The sequence below is a fragment of the Homo sapiens genome, chromosome 8, assembly GCF_000001405.40.
Source record: "Homo sapiens chromosome 8, GRCh38.p14 Primary Assembly".
NCBI lineage: Eukaryota > Metazoa > Chordata > Mammalia > Primates > Hominidae > Homo > Homo sapiens.
Window position 1 is genome coordinate 141,204,355 of NC_000008.11, and position 23,034 is coordinate 141,227,388.

Consider the following 23,034-nt stretch of genomic DNA (forward strand, 5'->3'; position numbering starts at 1 on the left):
AACGTATGGAAAAGGGAAGCAGCTCAACACTTACCTCACTACACATAACTTAACTCAAGGTGGCTCACCCACCTAAATGTAAAGCTAGAAGCTCTAGAAACAAGCACATCTTTGCCACCTTGGTGCAAAGATTTTTCTAGAGAGAACACACAAAAAAGCTAAACACTAAAGAAAAAATGGATAAATTGGACTTTATCAAAATATATCATTAAGGAAAAAAAAATATTTGCAATACTATATCTGACAAGAATTTTTATCCAAAATATATAGAGTTTTTACAAATCAGTAACAAGATGAACAGCTCAATTTAAAAATGGGCAAACAAGACCAGGCACAGTGGCTCATACCTGTAATCCCAGAACTTTGAGAGGCTGAGCGAGGCAGGAGGACTGCTTGAGCCCAGGAGTTTGAGACCAGCCCGGGCAACATAGGGAAACCCTATTTCTACCAAAAAAAAAAAAAAAAAAAGAAACAAAGCAGGGCATGGTGGCGTGCACCTTCAGTCCCAGCTACTCAACTGGCTGAGGCGGGAAGATGGCCAGAGCCCAGGATGCTTCAGTGAGCCACGATCAACCTTGGGCACTCCAGCCTGGGCAACAGAGGGAGACCCTGTCTCAAAAGAAAAAAAAGAAAAAAGAAGTTACACCCTGGAATGCTAACAGCTATTGCAGAATGCAGTAGGTCTACATGCAGGAACAAGGAAAGTTGAAAATATTTTGCTAAACAACAACAAAAAATGTAGGTTGCAAAACTCTGCATAGTGGTTCAAATTTCGTTTAAAAAAAATTAACATTAGTAGTGTGGAGACAAAGATGTGAAGACGGGCCGGGCGCGGTGGCTCACGCTTGTAATCCCAGCACTTTGGGAGACCGAGGCGGGCAGATCACTTGAGTCAGGAGTTCGAGACCAGCCTGGCCAACATGGTGAGACCCCCCCACCTCTACTAAAAGTACAAAAATTAGCCGGGTGCGGGCGTCAATTATCCCAGCTACTCGGGAGGCTGAGGTGGGAGAATCGCTTGAACCTGGAAGGCAGAGGTTGCGGTGAGCTGAGGTCGCACCATTGCACTCCAGCCTGGGTGACAAAGTGAGACTCCGTCTCAAAAACGAACAAAGACCGGGTTGGGAGGCCTGGGTCACTGATTCTCTGTCTTGGCGACTTCTTCTTGCCCCGTGATGGCCGCTGGGCACGCAGGGCTCATCCTTGGTGAGCATCCTGGGGAAAGGCCAGGAAAGGGGCGCAGCACCGGGTGTTCCCTCCTAGCCTGGTCGCTCGGGGGGAGCGTTGGTTGGCGGGGTGCAGGTCTGGTGCTCGCTCAGGTGGGCCAGGCACCCGCGCGCCAGGTGAGGCGGGCGGGGGAACACACGCCCCTGGCCCCTGCGCCGCCGTCACGGCCGCCCACCACCCGAGGGCGGGGGTCCTGGTGGGGTGTCGATTCCGCCTCCCCGCCCACAGGCACTGGGCCCCGGGCGGCCACCGGGGTGCGGGGCTCCCAGCGTCTCGGGCTCCCACTGCTTCAGGCCTGTCCAGGGGCGGGGAGCGTCTCTGTGGCCGCGGCGGGATTGCGGCGCGGTGGCCGGGCGTCCCCTGCAGGAAGCTGTTCTCGCTCGCTGCCTCCCCCACCTGGGAGGGAAGCGCCTGGATTTTGGGTCCCGCCGCCCTCCGCGCCCTGGGCCTCCACCTGTGTTCCCAAAGCCCAGCCACGAGTCTGGGGGTGCCGGGCGTGCCGTGGTGGGCGGAGGCTTCCACAGCCCCTCCCTGCCAGGGACGGCGGGGCGGGACATGGCGGGGCCGCACGCACCGGGTGGACGACAGGGGATGCCGCGGGCTCGCGTCAGCCAGGGCGCCAGGCAGGGTCCCAGATGGCAAATGGGGTCTTGGGTGCAGAGTCTGGGCGGCCCTGGCTCACCGCCCCACTCCCGTCTGGCCGAAGGACAGCGACCATCCCTTTAGTCCCCACCACAGGGCCATCAGCCTGCGTTTTGCAGCAGGGCGCCCAGGTAACAGCGCCAGAGTGGCCCAGCTGGGACTTGTCCCCAGGTCCGGAGGTTCCTGGCTTCCGTGGGCCCCCAACTGCGCAGGTCCCATCCAGGAGCCCCGTGGTGACACCCCCCAACTATCAAAGTCCCTCGTCCCTTTCTCCCTCGTCTGAGCAGATCCCTTCTACTCCACACCCCGGCCCTGCTGGGACCCCTTCCACGCCCCACAAATCAGAAGAGCCACTGAAGAAAACTTGCTTCCGGATTCAAACCCCAGCAGCTGGGTAACCCGGGGCAAGTCCCCTCCCTTTCATTTCCTCCACTGCCAACTGCCAGTCACAGCCCTCAGTGGGGTGCCAGAGGACAGAGATGACTCACTCTGCCTGTAGGAAGGTCAATGGAGCGCTCTTCCAGCCGCCCCAGGACCCCATATGTCCCCTGGGGCGCCAAAGCCAGGTGCACACACCGGGCCACCCCGTCCTCAGCCCAGCGTGGCCCCTCCTGCTGGCAGCAACAGCAAGCAGGCTGCCTCCTTAAGACACTGGCTCCAGGGACAGTCAGGGACCCTTCAGCAGAGGTAGACCGCGGGCCCCACCCCGGCTCCACCAGAACAGGCCTGCAGAAGGCCCAGGCCTCAACCCCACCTGAGTGGGCCTGTGTGTGGGTTCCAGGGACAGGCCCCGGATTTGCCAGCTGGCGGCCCTCTGGGAAGCAAATGCTCTGGTACTTGGGCCCAGCTCCCCTCCGCAGGCCTCAGACAGCCCACTAGACCCACCAGGCTCCAGGAAGGCAGAGGGCAGGAGGCCACAGGGAAGTGACAGACACACCCACATCATCATGTCAGAGGGAAAAGTTTATTGAGTCAGCCACAGAGGAACAGAGAAACAGACACAAGGAGGTTCTGTGTGCATGGAGGAAATCAGGGCGCCGCACAGCTGAACCCTGCGCAGGACAGAGGGGCGCGGACAGCAGCGCATGCCACAAACATTCACCTGGCAAAGAAACAGAGCAGAACCTAAGGGCTCTGTGTACACACAGACACAAACATGAGGCCACTGTTACCCAACTAATAGAAGAGAGTCATGAGCGACACGACACTTCCTTACGACCTCTCTCTCCTAAAACGTAACATTATGTGTTTAACACACGCTTACCACCACTGCTAACTCAGCAAGCGCGATTACAGTGCTCCAACTTAATAAGTTGATAAAAAGCTGTCCCGTGGCCAGTTCACAATGGAACTAAATAGTTTCGTTCCGAGATGCCTGGGGAGTTTCTCTGGCAACGAGGCATTTCCAACAAACGGGTCATTCTGTCACCAGGGGATGGTCTCAGTCCACGGCACAGAGCGACGTGCCCCTGGCAGCACTGTGGAGGGCAAGGGATGCCGCTAGGAGGGGTGCTCAGTCCTCCTGGAGGACCCAAGGAGGGGCTGGCCAAGGGGCCACCTTGAGCTCTGGCCGGAGGGTGATGGCTGGCTTTGCATGAGGAGGTGACAAGAACTTTGGGCTGGGCCCCCAACATGCTGTGTGCACGGGCCTTGTTCAACTCGGAACTGAACTGACACCTCTCCCAGGTGGTGAAGGGCAGAACCCCCCCAGGAGCTCTCGGAAGCAGGGGTCCCTCACGACAGGCCTGTGGCACCAGGCTTGGAGGCAGGGAGCTGGTGTCTCTCAGAAGCGGCGCGTGCTGGTGGGAGGCGGAGGGACAAACGAGGCTGACTCCGCAGCAGCAGTCCCTCACACGCTGTGTGGTGGCTAAAGCTGGACCAAAGTTAAGAAGCGAAACAGCGTGGGAAAAGGTGTCCATCTTTTCTGAAGCCGGTTAATGTCTAGTGTGGACAGCAATATTTGGTGTTTTAACAAACCTGGTCTCTAATAGGGGCCGCCATCGCTGGTGGCTGCACAAACCATTAGCCATATAAGGGAACAGTTGGTATCTTTAAGAGTATTTTTCAAACATGTCACCCGAACATCACCGCCCCAGCAGTGGGAGAGCCGAGGGTGGCCTGCAGCTCCCCCTTCCAGCCCTCTTGTTGCTGCAGGGACGGCTTCCTGTTCAGCTCTGGGGTTCTAGGTGGTCACAGACCAAGTCCTCCACACCTGGGGCATTCAAGAAACACTCCTGATGGCTGTTGGAAGCCACTAACCATCTGAGGAGGGCTCAGTGGCCCTGCCTCCCCCCCGGGGACAGGACTGGACAGAGTGCTTCTCCCAGGGGCCTGAGGCTTTCAAGGGCAGGTGTCCAAGAGGCAGCACACAGCACTGACGTGTTCAGTGGCAGGTTGGAGGATTCCAGCTAAGGCCCCTGCCTGAGAGTGAGAAAAACAACACTCCAAAGCTAGCTCTTCAGCCACCAGGGAACGTCATGATGCCAGTCTGCCGACAGACCCAGGAAAGGGGACACAGGCAGGCCGGCCCAGCTGAGAGCTCACGGCCTCTGCCCCTTCCCGCCAGCTCGCATTCCTGCACCTGGAAACTTCTGCCATGTGTTAAGGGGAAGCTCGTTAAAAGAGTCTTTACTTAGCTGACTTGTATAGGGAACAAAACCACCACAAATGAGACCAACATTATCCTAGTTTGGTAACTGGTCTGCGCACATTACACAAGACTCGACCAACCGACACACCCTGCCTGACACTCCACTCAGTGTGCAGAGGCACCCAGGCCACCAGCCTGCACAGCCCACACCCCAAGGGTGCCACGAGCCCAACTCCAGCTGCGTCCTCAGCACTGGATGGCTGGCCAGCTTCCCCAGGGGGCACCCGCACGGCCTCCTCGTCCCTCTCGGGCAAGGCTATCAGCCAGAGCACCTCCCCTTTGACACTGACCGGCGTCCCCAGCCCCGCCTTGTTACTGCATCCGTCTGAGGTACAAGGTTAGAAGCCACAGACACCCGAGCTGCAGCCTGACCCACACAAGCTGCGGGCGCAATGGCGCTTTGCAGACAAGACAGCCTGCCCGTCTGCCCTTCTTCTCGGCTTCCCTTAAGACACAAGGTGACGACACGGACGGTTTCAAGTGAGTGCAATCTGGAAATAATCTCAGTGCAGGGGAGGGGTTGAGGCCAAAGATGTCGTGACCTGGTCCCCGCTGTGGCCAGGCCGGGCCCACACGCACCGCCAGAGCCCCGGTCACCCACACCTGCCTCCCAGGAAGGCAGCTCCAGAAACCGACTCTACTGACCCTGGACCCCAGCCCCTGCGGTCCCCTCATTTGGGCTCTGCACACTGACCTGCACACTAAGAAGGGCTTTGCTTGCAAACACCTGAAGTGCTGACAGCTTGACGAGTCTACAAAGTGTGCAGCCACCGACTCCTGTCACCGAGGAGCACACAACAGTCACGCCTGTCCCTGGCTGGCACTGGCTTCCGGCACGTTCATACCCTGACAGTGACTGTGGCAAGGCCATGTGGAGGGCACTGAATGGCCTTTGTTGTCCTTACTTCAGATTAGTCGAGGCTGGGATCTCAAGGGTTAACACACTATTCAGAGGGGGGTTGCGAAGCCCCTCTTCCTCCTAAAAATCAAGTCGCAGCCAGGCCCTGAGACTTCTGCACTCCCAGCTGGCGAGGAATCGGCTTTGGTGAGCCCTGGATCCGGCCCCTGGGCCTTCAGATGAGGGTGGGAAGCCTCAGGCAAGGGGTGGCCCCCAGATGAACCCACATTTGGTGTGGTTTGGGTCGGATCTTGATTCGGGTCAGGCCACTGCCACCCCACATCCGCTGCTTTCTTGCCTCCAACTGTTTTATAGTCGTCAGGACGAGAAGCCGGAGAAACCAGCTAAGACGGGAGCTGCGCCTCGAGATCCTGACAAGTACAGCCAGGTCTCAGAGAGGGGATCTACAGTCTTAAAGCCGCTAGAGGATCAAGTTGCATAGAGTGAGCTGCCACGGACGCCCGGCCGAGGTGAGGAAGCCAGGGGTGCCGTCCCCCAGAGAAGAAGGGCCACAGTGCCCAGCCCACGGGGCTCCCGCTGGCCGGAGGGCTCGCAGCAAAGCTGGCAGCACTTTCAGTAGTCGGACTTGCCCTGTCCAAGCACGAGATTCACAAGGCCATTCTCAAGTTTCCACACATCCAGAAAATGTTCTTGAAGTCTTGAAAGTCAGCCCTCTGCGATCCTGGGACACCGTGGCCTGGCAGACACACCGTGCGTGAGCAGGTACCCAACTGCCACCCGGACACAAACACACAATCTACAAAGTGCCACCAGCGGCAGGAGACACGGCAAGACCAGAGGCCCATCAAGTACATTAAACAGTCGTTCCTTTAAATACACAGAAAATTCAAGTAATTTATTTAAAAACTGCTTTAGTTTCATCTTGAAATATATATACGTGTATATATATATTTGCTCTAGAATGATCATATTGCAGCATGATTCTCATGCATTTCAAAGTACTTTATTTAAAAAACAACTTGAGGCAGCAAAAGTATTAATTACAATTGTCTGACTTTATCTGTGTGATGTGCGGGGCCTCCCTGTCTCCTGATCTCAGTAAGCCTACACCGACCGTTTCAAATAGGCTTAGTTCTAAAGAGACTGTGGTTTGGAAAACATTTCCAAATAGCTGCAGTACTTGCCCGAGTTTTGCTTATTCGTTGAAACCAGAACGACTGTGCGGAGCCCTCCGGTGACACGGGCCTTAGCTGTCCCAGACGTCTGCGTCCCTTTGCACCTGTCCCGATTCCAGCGTCGAGCAGGTGAGCAGGCGAGGAAGGCATGGAGTTCCGACAGGTTCCAGCACGCATGTCCCCTTCGCAAGCGGGGGAGGCCCTCGCACATCCACACACCCGAGGTAGCCTTGCGGCGGGACTTGGGAGGCAGGGCCCGCTGGGAGCTCTGCTCTCAGGAATCCCCAGCAAATGGTTTAGAGACGAATCAAAGTGCAGTGAAAGTCAACGTTTCCTTCCCCCTGACGTTGGGAGCGGTCTGGAGGGGCAACCTGGCCTCCTAGGAGAGTCCTTCAGACGGGACGAGCGGGGTCACATGGCTGGGCGCAGACACACTCACACGCGCACGCAGGAGCTCGTCTGGAGCTCACGCTCCGCCCCCAGGTGGTGCCCAGCCCATCCCTGGGCAGGGTGTCTGGGAGCCACCCCTGCAAATCACTGTCTTCTGCCCAGGCCCCCCGGACCAGCCTCCTCCCAGCTTTGGTGTGCGGTCGCTGCCCAAGGACAGGGCTGCCCTGGGCACAATGTGTCCAACTCGCTGAGGAAAAGAAGATACGTCATTCTTCTAAGAGAACCACATTGTGGAAAAGAAAATTTTTTTTCTAAAATAATCATAAAGAAAAATACTCTCCAACAGCTGCGGCACCAGCCAATGTGACGAGATCTGACAGACGTCAATACCTGCAGGCGTCTACAGAGAGGAAATTTGATAAAAATATTTTAGTCACTGACTACACTACCATTATCTGAAGCATTCAGATAAGACTTAGCAGAGAATGTCAGATTTTGTTTTCAATTATAATTTTAGAAATGCAAAATCTTATTTTTTCTAAGTTGCTTATTGTCTATATAAATGTTTTATATCATTTAAAAACATGCAGAATAATACACCTGCAGAATAAAAGAGCTGAAATTAAAATATCTTTTTCAATTAAAAAAAATATTTCAAATGATTCTTTTAATTATCGAAAAAGTGGTTAGTGTGGTATTTGCTTAGTAGCTCAAACCTACCCTACGACTACTGAATTGTGGCTATGGGGGCGGAGGGGCTCTGGCCCGCACTGCCGGGTCGGCCACAGCATCTGCAGGGTTCCGCGGTGTCTCTGCTCCCGCCCATGGCCTGGCCCCGCCGCCCGCCCGCCCGCCCACCCGCCCACTGGAATGTGTGTAAACGGGAGTGCGGCTCAGACCACGGACTCTGTCTCCACCGGTCCCTGCAGGCCCTCCTTCCGCGTGAGCTTCAGCACGGTGGGCTTTTCGCTGTTCCCACCGGCCCTGCCTTCGCCGGCCAACGGGGAAGACAGGCCTTTCTGCTCCTCCTTGGCCTCCTCTGACACGTTGGGATAGATCACCAGGAATGTGGCCGTCAGGAAGCCCAGGAAAGAGCCCACAGAGGCCACCATGGGGATGACGCGGACAGTCCCCACGGCGTCGACCACGCCCCCAAGGGCAGAGGCCACCAGGATCTGCGAGATGTACACTTGGCAGGACAGGATGGCACAATCTATGCCAAACCCTCGCTTGGAGTTCCCGGGGCTGTGGTGGATGTACTGCAAGAGAGGAAACACGAGGCGGTGAGCGGCTGGAGAAGGTGGCTGCTACCCGTGCTTCACAACTGTGAGTATTAACCCACAAGCCTGGAAACATGACCCGTCTTCCACCGAGTCTCTTGGCAACCACTCCTGCCTGAGCACCCTCAATCCCCCAGCTCCTGTCCAGCACTGTACAGGCGGAAGAGGTGGGAAGTTCTAGCTCAAGGAGAGGGCAGGCGTGGAAGCAACTCTGTCAATCCAGTCGGGACGTGGGCTTCCCAGGAATCTGGCCTCCAGTCTCAAGGAGAGGTGGCAGGGCCAGGCTCCACCAGGCGGGCTCCCCCTCACCCTGGTGGTCTCCAGCAGGGGCTGAGTGGGGAGGGGTGCTGTGAGCCCAGGTTGATGCCTCCCAAAGTATAACTGCAGGTGGCCACGTGCAACAAAGGCTGGACCCACGGAAAGAGTGAGCAGTTTCACTTGTGTTTCTTGCACAAAGATACAAAAGAAAACTGCTGTACATATATTACTACCATTAGCATCTCTGCAAAGGCTTTTTCCTAGAGATAGTGAAAAAAAGGTCAGTCCACTAAGAAGCTAAAAAACAAAGCAGCTCTAAATGTGTGTGCCATAATCACAGTGAGAGATGGTTATCTACCTTTCAGAAAATAGAAGCAGGAAGAGAAGAGCTAAGCAATGTCAAGGTTGACCTCACAGACAGAGACGGGGCACTAGGTGCAGGACCCACATTCTTTCCAAGCGTACACGGAACATTTACCAACACGCGTGATGTGCTGGGCCACAAAGGAAGCCTCAGCTAACTGTAAGGCTGCAACCACATGGGGTATGTTCTCTGGCCATTAAGGAGTCACACTGGAAATCAGTAACAACAGGACAACTGGAAAAAGCCCAAATGTCAGAAATTCATCAGTGTCCTTCTAAATAATTCATGGTTCAAAATAGAAATCGTAATGAAAATTATAAAAATCTTTTAAAAGAAAACCCAACATTAAAACCTGCATGGTGCAGCTAAAGGTGTGTGTGGAGGGAAACTGACCTTAAATGCAAATATTAGCCTGGAAATCAGACTAAGAAATGAGCAACAGCAAATTAAACCAAGACATAACGGAAGGCAGGAGACAGCAAAGGGCGGCAGTGAACGCGCAAGCACGCGGACACGTGGCAGGGAGGACTAAGACGCCGAAAGTTCTTTGAAACACAAATAAAATCAATAAAGTCTCAGATAACTAACACGGGAGGAAAAAGGTGTTATCACTATAGGTTCCATCACATTAGATCATAAGAGAACAATTTAATGCTAATAATCTTGAAAGTGCAGATGAAATGGACACATTCTCAGAAAAACACAAATTAAAGCATCATACTCTGGGCTGGGCACAGTGGCTTCCACCTGTAATCCCAGCACCTTGGGAGGCCGAGACGGGTGGATCACCTGAGGTCAGGAGTTTGAGACCAGCCTGGCCAACATGGTGAAACTGTCGTCTCTACTAAAAATACAAAAATTAGCTGGGTGTGGTGGCAGGCGCCTGTAGTTCCAGCTACTCGGGAGGCTGAGTAGCCAGGAGGCAGAGGTTGTAGTGAGCCGAGATTGCACCACTGCACTCCAGCCTGGGCGACAGATCGAGACTCTGTCTCCAAAAAAAAAAAAAAAAAGCATCATACTTCCTAGTAAGATATTAAATACTCCCCTGTTGAGTTTGAAAGAGCAAACACCACTTCTACATATTTAGTATTGGAGGTTCCAGCCATTCCAAGAAGGCAAGGAAAATAAGTAACAGGTACGAAGGATCAGGAAGGAGAAAACGGAGCTCATTAGACACAGATGATGTGGCTGTGTAAGTAGATGGCCCAAAGAATCTCCAGATGTGCTGAGGATTAATAATAGAAGGGCATGTCACACTGATGCACTGAGGATTAATAATAGAAGGGTATGTCACACTTAGGGATAGGAAGTTCCATACTACAAAGTCATTCACTCTCCCCAAATTGACCCATATAATTTGTTTTTAATTTTAAAAGCCCAGAAGCTGAATCTAACATTTAGATGACAAATAAATGGTTGAGAATAGCCAAGACAATCTTGAAGAAGAACAAAGTTGAGGGATTTCTACTACCAGTTTTCAGGACTTATTACAAAACTAGTGAGAGACAGTTGACATTTGTGCAAGAATAGAGAGACTAGCGGAAGAGAAGAGAGCGGAAACACATGCTTACACGGAAGCCCAATTTATGGCAAAGGTGGCACTGCACAGAGGGGCGGGGAGCAGTGCTGGGTCATGACCTAGGCAGACACCCATATGTAGGGAAAAAAATAAAAGTCTTGAACCCCCACCTCAAACCACACACACCACACTACTCCAAGGAGACTGTCAGCCAACAGCACGGGCACAACAGGAGGTGTTTGTGGCAAGGGACGTTCATGCAGTGCTACCTGTGACGGCCCCAACCTGGAAGCACCCAAAGGCTCACAAAGCAGGGTGCATCTGGCCATACACTGTGACATGAAAAGGCTGGCCGTGCTGCCGCCAGCAAGCACGTGAGTGAATCCTAGAGGATGAAGCCAGATGTTTCAGCTGCATAAAGTCCAGAAAGAGGCAAGAGTCTGCCTGTGCTGCGGCTACTGAGCATTTGAGATAAAGCTCGTCTCATGTGTGATGTGCTGTGATGTAACATACACACAATTTCAACGATGAGCAAGAGTGTAAGGTATCTCGATGACTTTTTTCATATAGAGTACATGCTGAAATAATGTTTTAGATACACCAGGTTGAATAAATATGCTATGAAAATGGCCTTCACTGGCCTTTTCACTTTCTAAACGTGGCCGCCAGGAAGTCTAGGCATACCTGGGTGGCTTTCCTCCCATCCAAGTGGAAAACACGGGGCTGGAGCTTCCCCCTCAGGGAAATGTGACTGGGCCTGAGGGGACCAAAGGGGCAGGGACAGTGCTTTTGCCTCCAGAAGCCTCTGGAGGTGCTAGGGGGGTGGGGGCGGCTGAAGGAGAAGACCCTTTGTGGCCAGGGACCGATCAGGGGCAGGTGGTGGCTCTGTGGGCTTTGGAAGGGGCCATCTCAGAACCGGAGAGGAAGGAGGGCCATCTGTGTCGTGAACGTCCCCCCGGGGAAGCACAGGGCTCTGCTCTGTATGGAGGGAAGGCACTCAGGAGGCTGGAGCGCAGATCTCAGGGCTACGGTGGACGCACCTGCTTGATGTCATGGTACTGGCCCAGCAGGGCGTACGGGCAGTAGGAGATGCTCATGGAGACGATGCCCATGGTGCTGATGGTGACCATGGCGACGTAGACGTTGGGAAACATGGCCATCACGGCTGTGCCGACAGAGAAGCCCAGCGTCCCCAGCACGTAGATCACCCTGACGCTCAGGTCGTAGTTGTCCAAGTACTTCTGTAACAGGGCTGCAGAGAGGGGCACAGGGACAAGGACAGTGGGCAGGCGGCTGGCTCCTGTCGGGCTCCCTCCACCATCCCTCCCCTCGCCCCCCACATCCCCCCGACCTCCACTCCTTCCAGCTGAACCCAGACCTGGTCAGGCAGGCACAGCTGGCACAGGCCTCCGGCACGTATTTGTAGCTCACGGGCCCGCTGGGATGCCCAGTGGCTCCAGCACCACAGACAGAAATTGGCCCTCCTTGTCCCAGACCCCATAACCCCGCCCTTCCTGCAGCTCCCAGGGGCCCCCTGCCCTGCCAGGCCAATCTGGGCCCGCTCAGTGGCCTTCTCTGGCCGTACACCCAGGACGATTTCTTCTCCTGATGTGGGTAGCAGTGGACAGTCCTGCCTCGGGAACACACATTTTTGCTGGTTTTTCTCATGGGCACCGCTCTGTTCTTCCCTCACCCTTCCTGATGCGGCAGCTCAGACGGCACCTCCCCTGGGAAAGTGCTCTGCTGAGAATTCCTCTGTTCAAGCGGTGACAATGCCGTTTACCAATGCGCCGGCTGCTGCTGACCAAGAGGCATTTACTTCGGCCATCCTCACATCTGGCTCAGGCGGAAATGAAGCTGGCCTTCCCCATGTTCAGAGTCCAGGCAGGCCAGCCCGATTCACACTCGGCTCAGAGACCCCTGACCCAATTACCCCTGGTTCCTGGTGAGCCTCGCTGCAGGACGGAAGCCTGTCACCCCGGCCCCATCCCTCAGGGTGAAACGTGCTGGGCCCTGCTCCTCCACTGCTCTGATCATCAGGCCTTCATCCAGCTCTGTGCTGGGGCCAGGGACAGCGTGTCTGGAGGCACCATTGACGTGGGACAGCATCATGGGACCGCACAGGCAGGACAGGCCCCAAAAGGGTCTCAGAACCACACTGCTTCTGGTGCCAGCCCACAGCGGCCTTTTCCCTAAAACGAGGACATGGGAATTTCGATGCTTCTCCCCAAGGGGTGGCCCTGTTTTGAGGGACCCAGAAGTCAGTGCGACTGATGGCCCCAGCTTCTAAGGTGCAGGATTCTCTCGTCTGCATTTCTAATCACTGAGTTTTCTGGGGTGCGAGTGCTGACCTGACTTGGGGAGCTCTTACCTGAACAAATAGCACCAGTGGCGGCATAAATGACCAGGCCCCAGCAGCCCATCTTGACCCCGGCGTTGTAGGCTTGCCAGGCGGTCGAGTTCGAGGGGGCCTGTTCCGGAAATGAGACGGGGGCTGACGAGGGCATCTGCTGGGCCCTCCAGGCCAGGAGCGTATTTCCCATGGGAACTGCTGGCCGGCTGCTCATTCTAAGAGCGGTGACAGGAAAGTCCCATCCAGGAGGAGAGCCCAGCCCAAGTCGGTTGCTATCTGTAAAGCATTTCCATGCCTCCCAGACCACGAATGTTCTGTGACGTGACTCTGCCACCGCGGCAAGAGGCGGAGGGTTCTGTGTGTCTCCCGGTCCCCAGTCTGGGCTGGTCTGGACTTGCAGAAGTGACGCTCCCGCAGCCTCTGCCGTGGCCCTCTCGGAGCCACTGCATGGAGCAGCTCAGACTGGACCAGAAAGGGAGGGACCGTATGGAGACAGGAGGCCCGAGCGTGTGCTGAGGGCACCTTGGTTCTCCTGGCAAACGCAGCCACAGGTGTGACCCAGCCGTTACCACAGGGGCCAGAAGGGCCACCAATGAGCCTGGCATGGTCAACAGCAGGCCATTATCTTAGCTGCCGTTTTGGGGTAGTCTGACACACAGTAACAGACACCCCGTTCACACCAGTATCAGCATTCACGACTGCTCACCGCGGGCCTCACTGCAACCCACCCCATGACCCCAGGACGGCCCCCACCAAGTTCCCAGAGGCGCGCGCGGGCCAGCTGCCTGCCGCGGGTCCCTCACCTGCACGGGAGGCACTGTGTGGCCTCCCTGACACGCGTGGGCACGAGGAAGAGGCCCCCCGGCCCAGCCCGTGAGCTTCTCCGTGAGCCGCAGGTGGGCAGAGAGAGCGGCCCCGCTCCGGTGGCCGAGCACTCACCTTGGGGTCGCCTTCGAAGATGACCTGGCCCATGAAGTCGGTGTAGAACACGGCCTCGGCGATGACAGAGAACCAGGTGAGGAGGTGGCAGAGGCACAGCCGCATCAGCTCCCTGGGCATCTTCAGCATGGAGAGCCACAGCAGGCGCACCGTGGTCTCGCCCTCCCCCTCCTCACTCTCGGTGTCCCCGCTGGAGGTGGTGGCCCCGCTCTGGTTCCGGTGCCGGTGCTGCCGCTGCCGCTTCTGCATGTCGTACAGGTCGCTCATGCTGCGCGACGGCTTGATCAGCACCACGGCGTTGGCGCGCCGGTAGCGGTAGCAGTGGGACCCAAGCTTGCCGTAGTAGGAGAAGGTGCTGGAGGCCTGCCTGCGGAACGCGTGCCGCCGCCGCCGCATGGAGCTCGACGTGGCCGAGGGCTTCGTGTCCACCCTGGTGTAGCCGCCGAGGGCGTCTTTTGTGGGGGAGCCACTTCCGTTTGGGACTTTAGCTTCATTCAAGTGATTATCCAGCAAGGTCTCGTCCTCCTTGGCGGCTTCCTTGAGGAAGGTGGCCAGGCGGGGCAGCTTGGTCTTGGCGAGCTCCTGGCTGGTGCTGCGGGGGGTGGCGGGGTAGGAGGCGTCGTGGAAGATGGAGGGCTCGATGTCGTGCAGGAACAGCAGCTCGGGCTCCAGGTCCAGCGCGGTGTCCGGCACGTGCAATGCCGAGTCGCTTTTGCTGCGCATGATGTCCACGTCCGGGTAGTCCAGGGCCAGCTCGTGCTCCGACTGTACCTCGTCTGGGAAGGCAGGGACGCCGTGCGGCTCGCCCCCATCCAGGGCGCCGGGCTCCTCAGCGCTGCGCTCCTGCTGCGGGCTGTACTGCTCCTCGTCGATGCTGAACAGGTGCAGGGCCACGGACACCGTGAAGATGATGGCGGCAAAGAAGAAGAGCACCTGGTTCTGGGTCCGGAACCAGCTGCCCAGGAAGGTCTGGGTCCAGTCCAGCCCACCCAGCACGTAGCCGATGGCTCCGCCGAGGCCTGCGTGGGAGGAAGCAGCAGCCGGTGAGCCGGTGGCACCAGGCCACAGGGGGGGAAGCTCTGGGAGGGCCTCTCCCTCTAACAGGGGGCCGGGGCTGCCCTCATGATGGGAGTCAGGGGCTGGAGAAGGAGAAAGCAGTAGGAAAACAAAACAAGAAACTGCAGCTGCTGCTGGGTCTGAGAATTCTGACCCGACAGAACTGCCCCTTGATCAATGAAGGGCAGACTACCCCAGGACGGATGCAAGTGTGCGCCTCTCTGCACTGAAGGGCATTCCCTCTGCATACGGAGCTGGCCACGTTCACCCTGGATGGGAGTACTGCCCTGCTGGAGGGCAAGGTCAGTGCAGGGCTGGGAGGTTCACTGTGCCAGCATGCATGTCACCCTCTGCAGGCCTGGCCTCCTGCCCCTTGAAGCTCCTCAGTGCCTTGGCCCCACTGTGCTTGGTGGTCAGGAGGGGCTGCCCCTGGTTACCTTCCAGCCCTAAGACCCTGCCCACTGCCTCAACCCTCCATGCAGCCTGATGAGGCAGCGCTGACAACACAGGCTCCTGTCCCCTCCCCACACCAGGCCCGGGCACGTTGGAACCCGGCCACCCAGCCTTGGTGCGGCAGCGTTACCGGCAGAGAAGGCGTGGATGTTGAGGGCCATGTCCTGCTCCTCGCTGTCCACCACGTCCAGCAGATAGGCACGGATGGGCCCCTCGGTGGCATCGGCGCTGAAGTCCAGGACCACCACTCCCAGCACCGTGAGCACGATGCCAATGGGCTGCCGGTTGGGGACATCGCCGAGGGCCAGACCTGCGCAGAGCACACGGGAGGGCGGTCAGGTCCTCAAGCACTGGCCAGGGTGGGCCTGATAGCAAACAGCCACATGGAAGGGGCATGCGGAGGGGGCACGGCCACAAAACCATGCCAGCCTTCCAGCACAAGAGAGAGGCTCTTAGGCACAGAGGCAGCGGAAAGGAGTTGGGCTTTGTTCCACGCACTTCTGAGGGTTCCAGGGTTTTTCTCCCCGTTCGGTTAGCTGTTTATCAGACCTCCAAGGGTTTACGCGCCCTTGATGTTTTTCAAACAGAAAGGGGAAGAATAGACCTTTCTACCCCGGCCATCAGAGGACGGCTGCTGTGCTGGAAGCATGAATTCACTGTCGCTAAGAAGGCCGCACATGGTAGTGCAGACGCCCACAGGGAAAGGCGCTCATGCCACAGACAACCCGCAGGGGACACTGATGAGGCTTCGCGAGGCAGGCGCAGGGGGTCTCGCTGGGCCTGCTCTAGGTCTGAAAGGAAACGACACCCCAAACTTTAGGGGCTTTGCACACAAGTTCTCGGGGCAGCCTGGGTTCAGGAGACGTGGCTCTAGAGAGAAAGATGCCAGTGGCCGCACCTCACCTACGAGTCCTCCTGCAGTGGGCTGCCGGCACTCAAAAGCAGTCCCACCCATGTCCCTCCTGCCTCAGGGGAGTCTGCCCCTGAATCCAGATCAATGTTGATGGCTGAGGCTCACCTTGGGTCTCCACTTCCCACCAGGGAGACAAGCAGTGCCCTCCTGACAAGATTAGAGGAATTGCGGGCCAGAGCCCGGGACCCAGGCCTGAACACAGACACACCTGTCCGTGGGAGGCGCGGGAGAAGGGCTTTCTGCCCAGGTGGTCCTTGCTGGCCTCCTCAGACCACGGGCAGGCGACGGCTCCGAGGCAGAGGGGCTGGGGCTCCCAAGCTGGCTGCCATCTGGGTCACATTTGGGCAGGACCACCCCCAAGGACACAGCCCTGGGAAGCCACGTTGTTCCAGCAGGGAGGGGAGGGCTGCTCTCGAGGGACACGGACAGGCAGGGGGCCGGCAGCTCCGCGCCCAGCAGGCGCCAGGGCAGCCGCACCCCCACACGCAGTCAGAGGCATCGCCTGTTGGCGACGAAGCCCACCCCATGGCCAGTGCCCACTCAGGCTCTGAGAAGCGTCCCGGGGCCTCTCCTCCTGCCGCTTAACTCCCTCAGCTCCCTCCGCATCAGTGCAGGCCCGGGGCAAGTTCCTCTAGTTCAGAACACAGATTAAGCTCCTCTGTCTCAAAAAGTTCTTGCCAGAAAAATGTTTTAACAGTTTTGATGGGTGCCCTCAAGGCAAAAACTATTTTCCCACACAGAGTTGCTTTAATTCAAAAGAAAACAACAACCAAGAAGGCAAAACACAAACATCAAACCAGGTTCTGGACATTTTAACACCAAGTCGAAGAAAAGGAGAACAAAAAAAGACAAGATAATTTCTGAAAGAATGCTGGAAACAGGACGTGGTGTCAGATACGCATTAAAAACAAACCATCACAACAGGAAGCGTTTCCCTGTGAACAGGTTCCTCCGGCTTTCCCACATGGGGCCAGCTTCGGCGCTGCCAGGGGTGGTCACCGCCAGGGTGGCCCCGGCAGCCCAGCCAGGCCCACAGAGGGTCAGCCTGAATATTCAACACCATTCAGCTTTTAATGAGAGGAGCTACCCAGGGCCAGGACCCCGTCTGTGTTGTGAGGACACCAGGTGTGGCCGAGAAACTTACCGATGGCAGAGCCGTTAAGGAAAAGTGCAACGCCAAAGAGGACGCCAACGCAGAGGGCGAGGATGAAGGGCCGCCGGCGGCCCCAGCTCAGGGTGCACCGGTCACTCGCAGACCCAATGAGAGGTGTGAAGATGAGGCCAAGGATGGGGCTCAGGAACCAGGTGAGGCTGTAGTACTGCTCCGGAAGGCCTGCAAGGGACACGAGGGCCGTCGCACACGCAGGCACTGGCCGGGCTCTGCCACAGTTTTCCTGGGAGCCCCGCGACAGGCAGGTGCCTCTGTGTACACGCACGCATGCGCACATCCCCTGCTCAGGTTGTCTCCACGGGGTAGACTTTCCTTTTTCTGCAAGGCCAGATGACCTGAAATCAACCCAGCCCCAGCTGTAAGCATCAGATGGCCAGAGAAAAGCAGCCAGGCCTTGGAGTGCCAGTGGGCTCCACCTGCACTGGCCCGAGCCTAAGGGGCAGCACACACTGACTGTGCAGGCACATGGAGGGCGCCCCGCCCAGGGCTGGACACAGGGCTGAGCCCCTCCACACTGCTGGTGCTGTCCAGGGCCTCAGGGCTGCTGAAGGCCACTTTGAGGGTGGCAGGCACAGGGCCACTGTCCCTTGACACCAGACAGTCTACAAGAGCAGGACGGTGACTGCAGCTTCACAGAGGCAGGAAGGGCCCACGACTTCTAGACCTCACTGGCTGAAAATGTACCATGGAGGGTCCTGCAGAGGGTCCCCACAGCCAGCAAAAGGCTGTTCTGTGTGGCCACTGAGTGGGGGCAGGGGGATGCACCATGAGTGTCTCCAGCTGGAGCCAAGGGGTTGCAGATGGCACCTGTCATGCTCACATTCTCCTTCCTGACCACCCAGGGAGGTAGGAAATATGGTGCCTATTGCAGACAGAGAAACTGAAGCTCAGAGAGGTTAAGTAATCCACCCCAGGTCACACAGCTAGGATTCCAGCCCAGGGCTACCTGATTTCAAACTCTGTCCCTGAGTTGACACGCTGCCTCCCTATCACAGAAACCCGCGTGTCCATCACCAACCAGGCGGGCAAACAGTGTCGGCAGTCACAAGCACCACAGCACGGGAACGAGCGGCCGCCTTGTGCAGCCGTGAGCACGAGCCCACTCACAGCGCTGAGCGAAGCAGCCACACAGATGACCACGCACCTCTGACGCCTGTCGTGTGATGTCCAAAGGCGCGGAAAGGACCCTCCACTGTGAGAACTTGGGTGCCGGTTGCCCTTGGCAGGGGGCAGGGGGCAGTGGCTGAAGCGGGGTCGGGTGTCTGTTCTTGATCTGGATGGGAGTCCCACGCTCCAGTCACGCGGTGCCAATTCATCCCACAGGGGACTTGAGATCTGTGCCCTCTCCCCATACTATACGTCAGTAAAACACTTCCTTACGAAATAAAGGTGCTTGGCACGCCAGCGGCTCATCTGGCTAACATTGTACACTGCCAAAAGCCATTGAGAATATTGTGTTGAGCTAGCAAGAAAAATAAACTTGTGTGGGAGGAGGAAATCATTTTCAGAGGAGGAGGGAAGCACCTTTCAAAATTATTGCTAATGTGCTCACTAAAACATGTATGCATTCGGCCGAGGATTTAAGGTGTTTGCTTTGACCTTTGCACTGCACACAACTTCAGGAAGGGTACATTTTATTCCTACTCGGAGTCAGCAGAAAGGACTGATGTTTCAGGAAACGAGAAGTATGTGACGCGTGTCCGCTGGATGGGTGAGAGTTTACACGGCAGACCCGGGTTCCTCAGCTTCACCGGAACTGAGTCCCTGCCCTTGTTAATAATGATCCATCAGGAAGCCTATTTCTCAGAAAAGTCTCTTTATCAAAACTACGCAGAGGGCGCAACACTCAAAACCTCAGAAAGAATGGGAAGCGGTCATTACTCCCACCACATGCAGACTGTACCAATGTATGTCGGCAAACCCGTGCCAGGCAGCCCCTCGCAGAGCTGCGGAGCCTGTGTGCGGTCCTGGCTCCTCTGGATTGGGCACCCAGAAGGGCTCTCGGTGCCTCCTGTAGCAGCGCGCTGGTTCTCACCTCCCTGCCTGGGAACCCCTCCTGCTGTCCCTTTTCAAACTCCTTGGGGGCCATCCACCCAGGAGGCCCCCGCCAACCCTGCGCACGCCAGGTCCTGCGTTTTCCACACAGCATTGAAGCCACCTCGGCCACCCACATGCACTCACGAGAGACCGTGCCCCCAGAGGGCCGTAGCTGCTCACTCCTCTCTCTCCACCACTCACCCCAGTCTGGCACCAGATGGGACCTGTGACCCACAGAGGGCTCGAACACTAGCTGACCTGAACCAAACCACTTTACCATTTCCAGCAGTCCTCTTTCCTTTCTGAAAACTCTGACTTTTCATCTGATATCCCTTCGCTTAATCCTGAAGGATTTTCTGTAGTTTTTTTTTTTTTTAGCATTTCTAATAGGAGGGGCTCTGCTGACGACAAATGCTCTTGGATTCTGTCTGAACTCTCCTTATTACACTTACACTCTTGAAGAATATTTCTGCTGCACACAGAATTCTGGGTTAATTCCTCCCAGCCCAGATCTTCGAAGATGTGATCCACTGTGTCCTGAACCCCATGGTTTCTGACAGGGCGGCTGTGGTGATTCCCATGAGTGTCCCCTTGTATGTCATGGATCCTTTTTTCTCTGGCTGCCTTAAAGATTCTCTTTACTGCTGCTTTTCAGCAGTTTGACAATGACAAGCCTAGACAGGGATTTCTGGACACACATCCTGGTTGGGCTTTCTGGAGCTTTATGAATTTGTAGATTTATACGTTTCACCAAGTTTAGAAAACATCCCGTTCATCCCGTTACGTCTTACTTCAAAGCTGTGAGTTTTTTGGTTTTGTTTTGTTTTTGGAGACAGGGTCTTGCTGTCACCCAGGCTGGAATGCCGTGGCACAATCTCAGCTCACTGCAACCTCCGGCCTCCTGGATTCAAGCAATTCTTGTGCCTCAGCCTCTCGAGTAGCTGGGTACAGGTGTGCACCACCACACCCGGCGGCTAATTTTTGTATTTTTTGTAGAGACAGGGTTTTGCCATGCTGGCCAGGCTGGTCTCAAACTTCTGAGCTCAAGCAATCTGCCCACCTCGGCCTCCCGAAGTGCTGTGATGACAGGCGTGAGCCACTGCACCTGCCCCTGCAAAGGTTTTACATCCCATTCTCTATTTCCTTTCTTCTGGGGTTCCCATGACAGACATCAGACCTTTGAGATCATCCCTCTGTTTCCTGGAGCATTCTTCATTTCTTTTTTCAGGCTTTAATCTCTATATGATCATTTCTGTTGACATATCATGAAGTCCACTGACTCTTCTGTCCCCTCCAATCTGCTGTTAACCCCATCTGGTTCATTTTCTATTTTGATACTGTAGTTTTCAGACCTAGAATTTCCACTTGGCTCTATTTCTGTAGCTTCCATTTCTCTGCTGGGACTCTGTGCTCTCCATTCTGAGCATGTTTTCTGTCCTTGGGTGTAGTTACGCACACCCATCTGACCAGTGCGACACGCGACATCATCGTGGGTCAGCCTCCACTGCTGCCGTCCTCCAGCAACGGTCGCCTTTTCTTTTTTAAAAAAAACATGTCTAATAACATTGAGTTGTATCCTAGACACTGTGAATGATGTGTCATAGACTACACTGCTATATTCCTCTGAGAGTGTTCATGGTTTTATTTAACACGAGGGTTTGAAATTCCCGCCCCATCTCCTAACTCCACCCGAACTCTGCCTGTGGGTTCTTCAAGAAAGGCAGAGTGGAGTTAACTATCCAAGTTTCAGCCACCCTGTGTTGCGTCAACGAAGGCCAACAGTCGGGTTAAAAGCGGTGCCAAGAGAGAAACCCAGGCATTCCCTCTTCCAGCCATCACCTTCCTACTTGGTTTCTGCCCCAAGCGCTGGCTGGGTGTCAGGAGGGTGGGGAGGACCTGCAGGTGCGACCCAGCCCACCTAATCTAGAGGAGGCGCTGCGTGCACAGGCCTGTCCCGCCTTTGTGCTGCCAACCCTGGGAGCCGGGAAGACGCTGGGTCCGGAGCAGCCCTGGACCAGGCAGCCGTCCCCAGCCCAGAAGGGAGGCTTCTCACCCCGGGAGACAAGAAGGCACAGGGCACTGGGGGGAACCGCTAGGCCCGGGCCAGGCCCTCGGCTCCCAGTCCTCCTGTGGAGGCTGCTTCTCCACCCTTGTCCCACAGGCCCCTCCAGAGCCTGGTGGGACCCGGCCCCAGGCCTCCCTGGGCACCTCCACCCGCCAGCCTCCTCCCCTTTGCCCTCAGCTCTGACTCCTATAGTCCCCACAGCTGCCCCAGCCTCCGTGCGGCCCCGGCCCTGGTCTCTCCTGTGTTGCCAGCCCCCAGCCCTAGGTCAGGCCTCCCCACGCCTCTCTCTGACTCCCACTAACTCACCCCTACATCTGGCCGGCCTGCCTTGGGACCCAGGTCAGCCCCTCAAACCACACAGCTGCCATGGACTGTGCCTGGAAGCCTTGGACCGTTCCTCATGGCCTGACATCGTGATTTTAACTTTACACCCTGCGGTGTCAGGGCCCGCGTTCCAATCCTCAACAAGACACTGTGGGGCTTCCTTTCTCCATCTTTCCCCTCTGCTTGGACAACCCCAAGTCTACACGTCGGGACTGGCACTTGGCACATTCAAAGGGGATCAGTGGAGACACAGAGCCCACCGTGGCACCACCGCCCGTGCCTCCCACCCACGATGCTCAGTGCGGCGAGCAGCACACGGGCCTCCTGCTGGGGTGCTCTCAATGCTGGTGCGCAAGGTGCCCTGCCCCACGTGCTTTCCCTGGAAGGGGCGGCACGCCTTGGCACCAAGCATCTACACCCAACGACAGCTGTCGCTGCTGAACCTCTCGGTGGGCCTGGCGCCACCCCAGGTGCTGGCCTGTCCCCTCTGGAGGAATCCAGAATCTGGCCAGAGCAGGAGACCCACGACTGGGGTACACAAGGCAGGAGGGTTGCCAGGGTCGCAGGCGGCTTCCCTCGGGAGTGGTCACGGGGTGAAGGCCGCAGACACCATGAGCAGGTCAGGCCGAGGATGGAGAGACAGGCCGGGGGGCCGGGACAGGGCCAGCAGTGTCTGTCTCATTCTTCCCTCCCCAGTCAGCCTAAAAGTGAATTCCAGGCTGCAAGGAAAGCTCAAGCCCAATAGGAAGTCAGCGACTCCATCTCAGTCCCCAGCACCTGAGGCAGCACGGCCACGGGACGCCTGCCGGGTGCCCACAGAGCCAGGCTGCAGGAGTGAGTGGTCCCGAGTATCAGGGGACAGCTTCCTTTGTTTTAAGCACCTTGGCAAGAAAAATAAACACTTTTCATCGTATCTTCAAAACGGCCCCGGGAGGGCACAGCTGCCGCCTCCCTGCCTCGCAGGTCCTGCTCTGACGTCCCCGGCGGTGAGAACTCGGTCTCCCCCGTTCGTAGCAGGGGGCTGCCACTGGGACGGCTCTGACGGGGCATTTCCCAGCCCGGCTCCAAACACACACAACGCTGGGCCCAGTAAATAAGTTTTGTTTTTTCCCAGGGAAAAGTTGAACAACAATGGTGAGACCAGGAAGGCTCTCCGTTCACAGGAAATACTGTGTCACCGCTCGGCCGCAGGCTGTGTGAGGTCACGGGCGACGCTCGGGTCACGTGTGGCGGCTCCTGTTCACAGTGCCGTGTGTGATAAACTGGGACTTTCTGGTGAGGGGAGACTGGCGGGGGGTGGGGAGGGCAAGGAGTGGGAAAGTCGCCTATAAATGTTTAACAAAAGATCCGCAATGGGAA

At 56.6% G+C, this 23,034-nt stretch overlaps 1 protein-coding gene across 28 annotated transcripts in view, besides 6 other annotated features; it reads right to left on the minus strand.

The window, feature by feature from the left end:
• Window positions 1,477-1,886: a silencer, noted in NCBI's record as "silent region_19590". NCBI's record gives its function as "represses an Ori minimal core promoter by ATAC-STARR-seq in GM12878 lymphoblastoid cells {active_cell/tissue: GM12878}" and the evidence as "EXISTENCE:reporter gene assay evidence [ECO:0000049][PMID:35858748]".
• The window catches only part of SLC45A4 (solute carrier family 45 member 4), a 101,115-nt gene continuing 80,900 nt past the window's right edge, over window positions 2,820-23,034 (minus strand). For 10 of the 28 annotated variants that reach the window (XM_047422015.1, XM_011517173.3, XM_047421999.1 and 7 more), the window contains 7 exons: window positions 17,223-17,411; window positions 15,296-15,475; window positions 13,657-14,675; window positions 12,736-12,835; window positions 11,405-11,616; window positions 11,049-11,121; window positions 7,592-8,202 (listed from right to left, as the gene is read on the minus strand). In XM_047422015.1, the coding sequence (XP_047277971.1) occupies window positions 7,685-8,202; window positions 11,049-11,121; window positions 11,405-11,616; window positions 12,736-12,835; window positions 13,657-14,675; window positions 15,296-15,326 (1,953 nt within the window). In that variant the 5' untranslated portion in view covers window positions 15,327-15,475; window positions 17,223-17,411 and the 3' untranslated portion in view covers window positions 7,592-7,684. Of the gene's footprint in view, window positions 7,344-7,591; window positions 8,203-11,048; window positions 11,122-11,404; window positions 11,617-12,735; window positions 12,836-13,656; window positions 14,676-15,295; window positions 15,476-17,222; window positions 17,412-23,034 lie in introns of those variants that run through there. The other 18 variants (XM_011517179.3, NM_001286646.2, XM_011517171.3 and 15 more) reach the window with 6 other exon arrangements.
• Window positions 3,962-4,469: an enhancer, noted in NCBI's record as "H3K4me1 hESC enhancer chr8:142218415-142218922 (GRCh37/hg19 assembly coordinates)". NCBI's record gives its function as "activates a minimal SCP1, AML or CMV promoter by ChIP-STARR-seq in primed H9 embryonic stem cells {active_cell/tissue: H9 hESC(primed)}" and the evidence as "EXISTENCE:reporter gene assay evidence [ECO:0000049][PMID:30033119]".
• Window positions 4,470-4,977: an enhancer, noted in NCBI's record as "H3K4me1 hESC enhancer chr8:142218923-142219430 (GRCh37/hg19 assembly coordinates)". NCBI's record gives its function as "activates a minimal SCP1, AML or CMV promoter by ChIP-STARR-seq in primed H9 embryonic stem cells {active_cell/tissue: H9 hESC(primed)}" and the evidence as "EXISTENCE:reporter gene assay evidence [ECO:0000049][PMID:30033119]".
• Window positions 14,802-15,337: an enhancer, noted in NCBI's record as "H3K27ac-H3K4me1 hESC enhancer chr8:142229255-142229790 (GRCh37/hg19 assembly coordinates)". NCBI's record gives its function as "activates a minimal SCP1, AML or CMV promoter by ChIP-STARR-seq in primed H9 embryonic stem cells {active_cell/tissue: H9 hESC(primed)}" and the evidence as "EXISTENCE:reporter gene assay evidence [ECO:0000049][PMID:30033119]".
• Window positions 17,374-18,113: an enhancer, noted in NCBI's record as "H3K27ac-H3K4me1 hESC enhancer chr8:142231827-142232566 (GRCh37/hg19 assembly coordinates)". NCBI's record gives its function as "activates a minimal SCP1, AML or CMV promoter by ChIP-STARR-seq in primed H9 embryonic stem cells {active_cell/tissue: H9 hESC(primed)}" and the evidence as "EXISTENCE:reporter gene assay evidence [ECO:0000049][PMID:30033119]".
• Window positions 18,114-18,852: an enhancer, noted in NCBI's record as "H3K27ac-H3K4me1 hESC enhancer chr8:142232567-142233305 (GRCh37/hg19 assembly coordinates)". NCBI's record gives its function as "activates a minimal SCP1, AML or CMV promoter by ChIP-STARR-seq in primed H9 embryonic stem cells {active_cell/tissue: H9 hESC(primed)}" and the evidence as "EXISTENCE:reporter gene assay evidence [ECO:0000049][PMID:30033119]".